General features: G+C 49.6%; 1 protein-coding gene across 9 annotated transcripts in view, besides 3 other annotated features; it reads right to left on the bottom strand.

The window, feature by feature from the left end:
- The window catches only part of LHPP (phospholysine phosphohistidine inorganic pyrophosphate phosphatase), a 152,319-nt gene that overhangs the window by 107,985 nt on the left and 32,307 nt on the right, over positions 1-12,027 (bottom strand). For 7 of the 9 annotated variants that reach the window (XR_001747177.3, XM_005270026.4, NM_022126.4 and 4 more), the window contains exons 4-5: positions 9,133-9,196; positions 8,029-8,121 (exon numbers count right to left, since the gene is read on the bottom strand). The exons of 1 other annotated variant lie outside the window; for it this stretch is intronic. Coding sequence is in view for 7 of the 8 variants with exons in the window: in XM_005270026.4 (XP_005270083.1) it covers positions 8,029-8,121; positions 9,133-9,196 (157 nt within the window). In the remaining variant the exon portion in view is untranslated. Of the gene's footprint in view, positions 1-7,641; positions 7,830-8,028; positions 8,122-9,132; positions 9,197-12,027 lie in introns of those variants that run through there. One more of the 9 variants, NM_001318332.2, reaches the window with a different exon arrangement.
- Positions 9,224-9,801: an enhancer, noted in NCBI's record as "H3K27ac-H3K4me1 hESC enhancer chr10:126184925-126185502 (GRCh37/hg19 assembly coordinates)". NCBI's record gives its function as "activates a minimal SCP1, AML or CMV promoter by ChIP-STARR-seq in naive H9 embryonic stem cells {active_cell/tissue: H9 hESC(naive)}" and the evidence as "EXISTENCE:reporter gene assay evidence [ECO:0000049][PMID:30033119]".
- Positions 9,802-10,379: an enhancer, noted in NCBI's record as "H3K27ac-H3K4me1 hESC enhancer chr10:126184347-126184924 (GRCh37/hg19 assembly coordinates)". NCBI's record gives its function as "activates a minimal SCP1, AML or CMV promoter by ChIP-STARR-seq in naive H9 embryonic stem cells {active_cell/tissue: H9 hESC(naive)}" and the evidence as "EXISTENCE:reporter gene assay evidence [ECO:0000049][PMID:30033119]".
- Positions 10,380-10,957: an enhancer, noted in NCBI's record as "H3K27ac-H3K4me1 hESC enhancer chr10:126183769-126184346 (GRCh37/hg19 assembly coordinates)". NCBI's record gives its function as "activates a minimal SCP1, AML or CMV promoter by ChIP-STARR-seq in naive H9 embryonic stem cells {active_cell/tissue: H9 hESC(naive)}" and the evidence as "EXISTENCE:reporter gene assay evidence [ECO:0000049][PMID:30033119]".

Genomic DNA, 12,027 nt, shown 5'->3' with positions numbered 1-12,027 from the left:
GTGCGTCAGCTTCCTGAGCAGCTGGGACCACAGGCATGTGCCAGCCACCATGCCCAGTTAATTTTTGTATTTTTTTGTAGAGACAGGGTTTCACCATGTTACCCAGGCTGGTCTCGAACTCCTGGGCTCGTGATCCACCCACCTCGGCCTCCCAAAGTGCTGGGATTACAGGTGTGAGCAACTGCGCCCAGCCTGAGAAATCCTGTCTTAACCTCATGGTGGGAATGCAAAGCGCCTATGACAAGGTGTTTCATCTCTAAGCTTCAGGCTCCTCACCTGTGAAACGGGCCCCTCCAGGCGAGGGTTCTTGGCTGTCACATATAACTAAGTGCTCTGGTTTGAACAGTCTCAATCTCCACTAAACCTGCAGGATTTGCATCCCACAGAACTTCTTATGATGATGGAGAACTGCCAAAACCTTCACATCACTTGGGTGCTCATATGAAGCTATAAAACCATCCACTGATTCAGAAGCTTAAACCGTGAGAATTAGATATTTCTAGAAGTAACCTTTAAGGTATGTTATTCTTTGCCTTATTACTGAATCCTAGAAAGGGCCAGGTTGCCTCTAAGAGGTTTGAATTTCCAATCTATTAGCATAATACCAGCAATCTGTGATTTCTAGGCCACTGAGGAAAGGTTAAAATGAAAATTGGATTTGGGGAGTTATATCTATTCTGAGTGCAGACTGAAAACTCAGCAGCAAGAAGCAGGTCAGGGTCTCGGGAAGCAGCAGTGATCAAGGGAAATGACTGGTGATAACTTTATTGATTAAAGCAGCTGGAAAAATTTAAGGTTTGCCACAGCCTGGCATTCAGCAGCAAGAGAGGTCCTTGCAGGCATTTTTCATTAAAAATAAAAAAGCCAGGAACAGAGAATTATTACCCTGTGCATAAGACACAGTTCATTTGAAATGGCCTTATCTTGAAATACAGCTTTAAAATGTCTACACATCCTGAGAGTCAAATAACGTTAGTGAGCATTTTAGGAAAATGGCAGGGTGGGGACGTTCGGAACATGCAGCTGCTACTCCACTGTCAAGGGGACAGGCAGAAATGTCATATGAGGGTAGGAGAGGATGATGATGTGGGAGGTAAATAAGACACAGCTTTGCCACATATGCTCGGAGCCACCAGAGGAAACAAGTCTTTCGCTCTCCAGGGCCACAGATGCTCAGGGTGGATGGCAGCGGCAGGGACCAAAGCCTCAAGCAGCCACGGTGACCCACCAGGAATCCACAGCCCCGCTCCCTCCCAGACGCACTGCCCCAGCATCCGAAAACGACAAACCCAGATTCACCAGACCCCCATGAGGGGTCTTCTTTCGGCGGTGAGGTGGGCTGTATCTCATTCGAAATGTGAAGGAAGCTGACTGTGAAAATAACTGAAAATGCCACAAGAAAAAGGCAGGGAGACCACCCAAGGTCAGACCATCCAAATATCACCAGCAATGCCATCTGGACAGCCAGTCTCGTCTCCTCCCCTCTCTTCCCTTCCCCTTCCCTCCTTCCTTCCTTCTTTCCTTCCTTCCTTCTTGCTTTCCTATTTTTTTTTTTTTGAGACAGGGTCTCGCTCAGTTGCCCAGGCTGGAGTGCAGTGGTGCAATCTCAGCTTGCTGCAACCTCAACCTCCTGGGCCCAAGCAATCTGCCCACCTCAGCCCCCCAAGTAGCTGGAACCATAGGCACATGCAACCACATCTGCCTTTTTTTTTTTTTTGCATTTTTTCTGTAGAGACGGGGTTTTTCCGTGTTGCCCAGGCTGGTCTCAAACTTTTGGGCTCTAATGACCTGCCCACCTCGGCCTCCCAAAGTGCTGGGATTTCAGGCGTGAGCCATGGCACCTGGCCAGGTCTTATTTTCCAGGCAGTGGCAGGGTTTTGTTTTTGTTTGGGTTTTGGGTCGGGGGAAGGGGGCTGTTTGAGATGGTTGTGATCATACCACTTATATTATTTTATTTTATTTTTTGAGACAGAGTCTCACTCTGTCACCCAGGCTGGAGTGCAGTGGCAGGATCTCGGCTCACTGTAACCTCCGCCTCCTGGGTTCAAGTGATTCTCCCACCTCAGCCTCCTGAGTAGCTGGGATTACAGGCACCTGCTGCCAGGCCCGGCTAATTTTTGTATTTGTAGTAGAGATGGGGTTTTGCCATGTTGGCCAGGCTGGTCTGGAACTTCTGACCTCAGGTGATCCGCCCTCCTTGGACTCCTAAAGTGCTGAGATTACAGGTGTGAGCCACCATGCCCAGCCTACTTATAAACTTTTAAATACTGATTTTTAAACTTAAAGCATTAGCCTTTCTCTCTATATATAAAACACATTATTTTGAGAATTTGTCTCTTAAATTCATCCTATGAGGGGAATACAAATATATACATAGTTGCTTATTTTTTAAATAAAAAAAGCTATAATATTTATAAAATATTTATAGCTTTAATATTTATAAACATGGCTACCTACCAGAGACAGGTAAAAACAAAATAGAAGGAAAAGAAGTTGGACTTCTTTGAATATGTCTTGCTTTGTGGATTTGATTTTAGAACCATATAAATGTTTTACATAACTACAAAACAAATGTAAATGTTAAGCCAATTCCCTAAACATCAAAATGAAAATGAATTCAAAGAGCGTCCACTTGGGGGAATACCACCCACAAAAAAGAATTATTCCCAGCAGCTTTAAATACAGTATTTTGGTCATAAACCTCTAGAGCAGGGGTGTCCGATCTTTTGGCTTCCCTGCACCATACTGGAAGAAGAAATGTCTTGGGCCACACATAAAATACACCAATGAAGGCCGGATGTGGTGGCTCATGCCTGTAATCCCAGCACTTTGGGAGGCCGAGGCGGGCGGATCACCTGAGATTGAGAGTTTGAGACCAGCCTGACCAACATGGAGAAACCCCGTCTCTACTAAAAACACAAAATTAGATGGGCGTGGTGGCACATGCCTGTAATCCCAGCTACTCAAGAGGCTGAGGCAGGAGAATTGCTTGAACCCAGGAGGAGGGGGTTGTGGTGAGCCCAGGCACCACTGCACTCCAGCCTGGGCAACAGGAGTGAAACTCTGTCTCAAAAAATAAAAAAATAAAAGAATTATCAAGAGATGCCAAAATTAGAACTAATGATCAGAAAGAGAATATTTACATAGTGTCAAAGAACTTTCCCACAAGATACTTATTAGGGTTGGATGCAGTGGCTCACGCTTGTAATCCCAGCACTTTGGGAGGCCAAGGCAGGCAGATCACCTGAGGTCAGGAGTTCAAGACAAGCCTGGCCAACATGGAGAAACCCTGTCTCTACTAAAAATACAAAAATTAGCCGGGCTTGGTGGCAGGTGCCTGTAATCCCAGCTACTCAGGAGGCTGAGGCAGGAGAATCACTTGAACCCAGGAGGTGGAGGAGGTTGCAGTGAGCTGAGATCATGCTATTGTACTCCAGCCTGGGTGACAGGATGAGATTCCTGCTCAAAAAAAAAAAAAAAAAAAAAAAAGGCTGGGCGTGGTGGCTCACGTCTGTAATCCCGGCACTTTGGGAGCCGAAGCGGGCAGATCACGAGGTCAGGAGATCGAGACCATCCTGGCTAACATGGTGAAGCCCCATCTCTACTAAAAATACAAAAACAAAAATTACTCAGGCATGGTGGCGGGCGCCTGCAGTCCCAGCTACTTGGGAGGCTGAGGCAGGAGAATGGCGTGAACCCAGGAGGCGGAGCTTGCAGTGAGCTGAGACAGCGCCACTGCACTCCAGCCTGGGTGACACAGCGAGACTCCGTCTCAAAAAAAAAAAGATAATTACTGAAAGGGACAAATAGCAATGACAGTAGAGAACTCTGGAAGACACCTCCTCAACAGGTGATCAGAGTTCACAGATAAAGGACACTAGGGTCATGACTGCTACATGCAACGTGTCCCCAGAAAGCCATGAGTGGGATGACTGGTGGTGTCTGAATAAGCTCTCTAGGTTAGCTAACCGCCTTGTGCCAGTGTTGATTTCCCGGTTTTATCACTGCTCGATGATGATGGGGAAGCTGCTGAACGGTACACGTGAACATTTTGTACTATGTTTGCAACTTTTTGTGAGTGTCAAGTTACTTCAAAATGAAAAGTTGAAAACAATTTTAAAGTGGTTATTAGTTGATAATTATTAAAGCACAGTGATGGGTACCTAGGAGTTCCCTGAGCTGCCCTCTCTACTGACATAGATATTTCAAATGTTCTATGATGGAGGGCTAAAAAGAGAGGCTCAGAAAACATAAAAACGACACACAAGTCACGGAGCTTCTTCAGATTGGATTCCAACAGATCAACGGTAAAAGAGCATTTCTGAGACAGTCAAGGAAATTTAAATATGGGTTGCTATTAAATAATACTAACAAAAATCACTGTTAATTTTTTAGGTGGTTTTAAAATGTTTATTGTGGTAAAATACACATTACATAAAATTTATGACCGTGACCAGAGTATTCAATTCACTGGCATCGAGCACATTCAGAACGTCGTGCCACCATCATCACTGTCCAGTTCCAGAATATTTTTCTTTTTTTTTTTTTTTTTTTTAAGACAGAGTCTGGCTCTGTCGCCCAGGCTGGAGCACAGTTGCACGATCTCGGCTCACTGCAATCTCCACCTCCTGGGTTCAAGCAATTCTCCCACCTCAGCCTCCCGAGTGGCTAGGATTATAGGTGCACACCACCACGTCTGGCTAATGTTTGTATTTTTAGTGGAGACGGGGTTTCACCATGTTGGCCAGGCTGATCTCGAACTCCTGACCTCAAGTGATTCACCCTCCTCAGCCTCCCAAAGTGCTGTGGTTACAGGTGTGAGCTGCTGTGCCCGGCCCAGTTCCAGAATATTTGTATCATCCCAAAAGGAGACCTCGTACCCTGAAGCTGCACTCCCCATTCCCCTGCACCCGACCCCTGCCAACCACTAATCTCCTTTCCATCTCTATGGATTTGCCCATTCTAGACATTTGCTATACATGGAAGAATACAATATGTGTCCTTTTGTGTTTGGCTTCCTTCACTTAGCATAATGCTACCAAGGTTCATCTACACTGTAGCATGTGTCAGAACTTCATTCCTCTTTATGGCTGAATAATATTCCACTGTATGGACATACCACATTTGGTTATCCTTTCATCAGTTGATGGGCAGGTATCTTGGCTTTTTTTACCTTTTGGCTATTGTGTATGGAGCTGCTATGAATATCTGTGTACAAGTTTTTGTTTGAACACGTGTTTCAGTTCTTCTGGGTATAGACCTGGAAATGGGTTGCTGAGTCATACGGCAAATTCTATGTTTAACTTTGAGGAACCACCAAGTGGCTTTCCGTGGCAGCATTGTCATTTCACCTTCCCAGCAGCAATAGAGAAGGGTTCCAATTTCTCTACATCCTTGCCAACACTTGTTATTTTCTATTTTTTTTTTTAACTATACAGTCATCTTAGTGTGAAGTGGTATCTCACTGGAGTTTTGATCTGCATTTCCTGATGAATGATGATATTGAGTATCTTTTTGTATGCCTGTTGGCCATGTTAGGAGTTTTAATGTATTGTATTTACATCCAAAAATCGTGATTTTTAAATGTCATGCTACAACATGAAAGGATACAATTGAGATTTGCTTTAAAATATGAAGCAAAAAAATAAGTAAATTTATTATTATCATTACTATTACTATTACTTGGAAATAGAGTCTCACTCTGTCGCCCAGGCTGGAATGCAGTGGCACAATTTCGGCTCACTGCAACCTCCACCTCCTGGGCTCAAGCAATTCTCCTGCCTCAGCCTCCTGAGTAGCTGGGATTACAGGTGCATACCACCACACCCGGCTAATTTTTATATTTTAGTAGAGACGGGGTTTCACCATGTTGGCCAGGCTGGTCTTGAACTCCTGACCTCAGGTGATCCACCTGCCTCAGCCTCCCAAAGTGCTGGGATTACAGGCGTGGGCCACCACACCCAGCCAGTAAATTTTTTAAAAGGAAAAAAAAGAGGATAGAAGAAAGGAATGTGGCAAAATCTTAACCACTGAAGCTGGATGATGGATATAATGGGGTGTCTGTATCATTCTCTCTACTTTTCTGTATGTTTGAAATCTCTAATAAAAAAAGAAATTCTGCCCTATGAAGCAAGGTAGTAAAAAGCCAGGTTATTTATTGCTGCAGTTCTCACTCATTCAAAACACAAACCTTTCCTTCTCAACAGACTAATGTGACATTTCCCAGGTGTTTTCTGGGGACTCCAGACAGCCTGCATCTTCTGACATCTCTATGGATCTCAGGGCAGGTGCAGGTGCAGTGTCTAGATTTTGGCAGCTTTGGGCCATCTTTCTCAAAGCACCATGAGGCACCAGTGTTCTGGACCGAAATGCACACAGGGGAAACATGCACCAGGCTTGACACCTGAGGGACCCCCAACCCATGCTTCTGCTGCCCACTTCTGAGGAGGCAGCAGGACAGCCTGGGGCAGCTGTGGACTCTGTTTCTTTTTTCTTTTTTTTAAAGAAGGAGTCTCACTCTATCACCCAGGTGGAGTGCAGTGGCATGATCTCGGCTCGCTGCAACTTCTGCCTCCCAGGTTCAAGCAATTCTCATCCCTCAGCTTCCCAAGTAGCTGGGATTACCAGGCATGCACCACCTCGCCCAGCTAATTTTTTTTGTTTTTCTGTATTTTTAGTAGAGATGGGGTTTCATCACATTGGCCAGGCTGGTCTCAAACTCCTGACCTCAAGTGATCCACCTGCCTCAGCCTCCCAAAGTGTTGGGACTACAGGCGTCAGCCTCCATGCCGGCTGCCCACTATTCCTTACAATCTTTCAGAAAACCTGCTGGAGGGGGCTGTGTGTTGGTGGCTCATGCCTGTAATCCCAGCACTTTGGGAGGCCGAGGCAGGAGGACGGCTTGAGCTAGGAGTTTAAAACCAGCCTGGGCAACATGGCAAAACCCCATCTCTATGGAAAATACAAAAGTTAGCCGGGGCTGGGCATGGTGGCTCACACCTGTAATCCCAGCACTTTGAGAGGCCAAGGCGGGCAGATAACCTGAGGTCAGGAATTTGAGACCAGCCTGGCCAACATGGTGAAACCCTGTCTCTACTAAAAATAAAAAATTAGCTGGTGTGGTGGTGCACACCTGTAGTCCCAGCTCATCAGGAGGCTGAGGCAGAAGAATTGCTTGAACCCAGGAGGTGGAGGTTGCAGTGAGCCGAGACAGCGCCACTGCACTCCAGCCTGGGTGACAGAGTGAGACTCTGTCTCAAAAAAAAAAAAAAAAAGTTTGCCAGGCGTGGTGGCATATACCTGTAGTCCCAGCTACTCAGTTGGGGTTGGCGGGGGGGGGGCCTGGTTAGTAAGGGGGTTAAGGGGGCACTGAGATGGCAGGATCGCTTGAGCCTGGGAGGTCCAGGCTGCAGTGAGCCATGACTGTGCCACTACACTGCACTCTAGCCAGGGTGACAAATGGAGACATTGGCTCAAAAAAAAAAAAAAAAAAAAAAGAAAAAGAAAAGAAAACCCACTGGAGGACGAAGCCAGACTCACTTAGGGTTGGGGTAGGTGTAGACAATAAAATCATAACCGATTCTTTTTCCTTTCTAAAATTTGGAAGTTTGAAAGGCAATCTATCCCAAAATAGTCAAAATATAAAGGTCGCAAAATGAGTGACTTTATTATTTCCTCCATATTGTTGTAATCTTGCTGTTACACTGTCTTGCCAGTGAGATATATTAACACACTGATAGGACTTGTCAATTCTTATCCTTTCAGAGAAGCAGCAAAAACTCAGGAAAAGCCGCAGGCATTTCTGCTTCTTGCTTTCATACTGAAAGTAACTTCACGGTTGAAACTATTCAGTGGATTTCGTTTGCTGTCTTCCCCCTCCTTCCCAGCCAGGTCAGCTTTCACAGGGAGCCCACGCTTGGCTGCCTGGCCAACCCCACAGGCTGCCTGAGTCCTGTAATCCATTCCAAGCTCCAGGGCCTCCCTGACGGGGCTGCCTCCCCTGACCCACTTCACAAGGCGCCAACCTACCTGGTGGGCTTCCACTCCTATCGCTTGCAGGGCAGACTTGAAAAACTCAGGAGAAGGCTTCCCCACCACCTCGGCTTTGATGCCACAGGCATACTGGGAAAAGAGAGAGGGACATGGCATAAGTTTGGGATCAAGGAACAGGTGTATGCCCAGCCACGGAAACACTGTCCCAAATGTGCCCCCAAGAGTCAAGGGCCTTGAAGAAGCAGGATGCTGTGGGCCTGAGAACTCATCTCACAGGCAGGAGCCTCACAACTCCAGAAAGGGCTGCCCGGGTCACTCAGGTCCCCTAGCACCAGGCACCCTGCCATCCACTCAAAGGCCTACCCACAGCAGAAGGCATCCAAGAGCTGGCAAAACTACAGGGCTCCCAAGGGCCAGCAGAGCAGTGCTCTGCTCACTCGCCTGCAATTCCGTCCTCTCATCCCTTCTCCCCCTCTTCTCCCCTGCCCACTCGCAGCTCATCACAGGGCTCCATCTGCTCGTCTGCCTCTCCCTCCCACCTGACGGCAGGCAGGCAGGAGGGGCTGCAGCTGTGAGGATGGGACGGGATGTGAGGCTGACCTGGGGCAGCTAATGGGACCTGGGCCAGAGTGGACCCAGGGGAGCCCCACCCGGAGGCCTGGCCACAGATGGCCTTGGAAACTGAAGGGGAAGTCAGGAAGGAGGCCAGTGAGGACCCGTCAAGCTTGAGGTGCTGCAGATGCCCAGGGTCAGGAATGAGAGCGGTGGTCAGCACTGATACAGAAGCCACAAGCCCGAGAGGAGTGTGGCAGAGAGCAGCTGGGAGAGCGGCAGGGTCCACGGCGGGCAGGGGGGGCTGCGCCCACTGGAGGATGGGGAGGATGGGGAGGATGGGGAGGATGGGGAGGATGGGGAGGATGGGAAGGATGGGAAGGGAGAGATGGGGAGGGAGGAGGACAGCTGAGGGCCTGAGGGCCCGAGGGCCCGGCCAGGGGAGCCCAGAATAGGAAGGCAGCCTTTGTGGAAGCCCAAAAGGCCATTTGTACGTTAATTAAGCACAGCCTCTTCTCAACAAAGACCCAAAAAGTCCCAGGTGCCCTGAGGTCTGAAGAGAGTTTGGGACAGAACCAGGGCTGGTACCTCAAGCGCCTTCATGTAGGGACCAACGTCCAGCATCAGGCCAGAGGTCTCCTTGTAGTAACGCCTAGGAGAGAGCAGAACGGAGCACGGGATGCTGAGCACGGGGAGCTGACCGCAGGATGCTAAGTATCGGGAGCTGAGCACCGGGCCTGTCCCGCTGGCTGCAGAGCCAAGCCGCGGCTGAGGGGCAGTCCAGGCGCTACGCTGAGAATGACCGCAGGGGACCAGCACCACAGAGCCGGGCGGCAGGCCGCCACACCCAGTGGGGCGAGCGCAGCAGCCAGCAGCTCCAGGGATGCCACAGGTCGCACAGAACGCAACCCTGCTGTCAGACTCGTGGGGACCCTGCTGCAATGATTAACAGGGGACCCAGAAGGCAGACGGTTTCAGTTGCTAACACAGAGAATGACAAGTGACCTGTGTCCTGGGAAGGAACAGCAGGTCCACGGGGTATGTGGCGAACCCCTAATTGCTAATAATTAACCCCTAATTGCTGGCTGAAGAAGAGAACTCCATTAGTTCCACAGCACCCTGCCGCATCCCGTTAGCCGGAGGTCAAGCGAGGTGCCAGGTTTCATGGGCGCCAGATGCTTTTATGAGAAGACAACTGTTCCTTCCCGTCTCATGGAGGTGGAGACAGGCTCTGCACGAGGGAGCATTCCTCTCTCAAAATGGCCTCACTGCTCTTTGAGCCCAGGGCTGGCTTGGTGGCTGGCTGCAGCCCGGCCAGGCTCACCCTACGATCGCGTCACACTGAGCCTCAAGGCACTCACAGTCCAGACACATGGTGGGCCAGACCTGGCTCTGGCTGAACTAAGCCAATTGACTACAATGAGGCGAGAAAGTGGTTTAACCTGCGCTGCTCTGAAGACGCAGTTCATTGAAAGCCAAGAATACACAAGGGGGCTTGATTCTTGGAACCACTAAAATGTTTTGCCATCCACCATCACATCAGTTTCCCTCTCCTCCTGCCATGCCCTTACGATATGGGAGACGTGGAGAAAGCACGTATGCAGAAAACGAGAGGGAAGAAGAGCGCATGCTGACTTGAGCATTCAGATCTCACTGCCTTCTAACGGTGTGACTTTGGGTTGCTTACGCCTGTGGGCCTCAGTTTCCTAATCTGTAAAATGGGCAAAACGAACAACAAACAATACCTACCTCACGGATTGCTGTGAAGCTTGAACAAAATAACGCATGCAAAGTTATTAACTCGGTACCTTCCATGCAGAAGCTGCCCAGATGAGACAGGAGAATATTATTATAAATAACCTTTCACCCAGGCTGACACAAGCAATAAGATGAGCTGGGGGAAGGAAAAAATGAACACAGCCCTGTTCAATTTGGGGGCTGAAATGTGTTCTGTGACCACCTGGGGTGTGAGAACTGAGCTCCTCGGGAGCTGCCCTGGGGCTGTGCCCTTCCTCCAGCTCCGCCACTCCTGGGCACCCTGCCTGTCCCTTTCTGCCCCACCTGATGCCTTGAAGCTGTAGCAGGCACCCAGCCACACCTGTGAGATGAACCGCTCACCCCTGTGCGTCCTCCACTGCCTGCCTCAGATGCTTCCCGGCTAAACTTACAAGCTGGGCTGCAGGTACGGGCTTCAGCCAAACCTGGGCCTTGCCAGGGCTGGTCCCCCTGCCACTCCTGTTAGGCAGCTTTGGAGCTTGGAGTCTGTTTGTTGAAGGTGTGGGCATCTCCTGTCATGACGTGGGCTTGGGACTCTCCACGTGAACCCCAGGCCTGTTCCACAGCCTCTGAGGCTCTGTGCTCTGGGGTCACGGCACAGGGATACAGGCTGGCTGGGATGCTGTGAATGCTCACAGAGGGGGGACCTGAAAATGCCCTCCCTTTTAGAGTGACCCCCAAAAACAGGCTTAGAAATCTCTAAGTTCATGTCTTAAACGCAGACTTCAAATGTATATTTTGCATTTACATGGCCTAAAAAAGTACTGCTTTTTCTTTTTCCCAGTTGGACAATCAGCTACTTTGGTCTGATGGTTTCCTTAGTGGGGTCCAGAGTTCTCAGGAAACAGTGAGGGGACACCGGGTCCTGGGGCCTGCACTGGCTGGTGCTGCAAATGGCCCAGGTTACCTTGGTCCCCCTTGGCATTAACGATCCCAGATGCTCCACAGCCCTTTGCAGGACTCAGGGATACTCCCAGCCCCAGCCTGCTCCACAGGGACTCACAGTCTGGTGGGGAAGCAAAGAAGCCCACAGACAAACTTTAAAGGGCAGGACCCAGGGGAGGGGCAGTCTGCTTGAACAGGGCGGGGGACAGGCTGGGTTCAGGGAGGCAGCAGAGGCATGGAAAGCTGAGACCTGAGCTAAAAGGAAGTGAAGGGGAGGTCCGGGTCCAGGGAGCACCTTGGAATCCACTGAGCACCCTGCTGAGGACCAGGGTGGCCACGCCACCACAGGCAAGGCCCTCTGCAGGCCCTCAAAGGCCATGACCCTCGTCCCCTCCTGCCCACCTGTGCCAGGAGAAGGAGGGCATCGAGGTGGGTAGGGAGGGCCTCCCTAATGAAGTGATGTGTGGAAGTAAGCCAGGACGGAGGAAAGAATATACCCCACACAGGAAATGCTTACCCAGCAACAAAAGAAAACCTGAAATCAACAAAACTACTCCATTGCGACAGGTACAGCTCTGTTTGGAGCTGAGGATTCTGGGGGCTTCTGGGCCCAGACCCCTGTCCCTCAGCTACCCTGGGGCCGGCTGGAGGAGCTAGAGGTTGGGTGGACGGGAGCAAGCACCTCCCATCATCTGGCAAAACCTCCTAAGGGGACCCACGCGGCGCCACTTCCTCTGGCCTCAAGTTCCCTGCAGCCTCTTCGAAAGCGAAAGAAACCTGGATTTTCTTATGTTTAAATTTAGTCCTGGATGGGATTTTAAA

Source organism: Homo sapiens, chromosome 10, assembly GCF_000001405.40.
Source record: "Homo sapiens chromosome 10, GRCh38.p14 Primary Assembly".
Classification (NCBI taxonomy): domain Eukaryota; kingdom Metazoa; phylum Chordata; class Mammalia; order Primates; family Hominidae; genus Homo; species Homo sapiens.
Note: the sequence above shows the minus strand (reverse complement) of the source record. Positions and strands in the feature narration are given on the sequence as shown.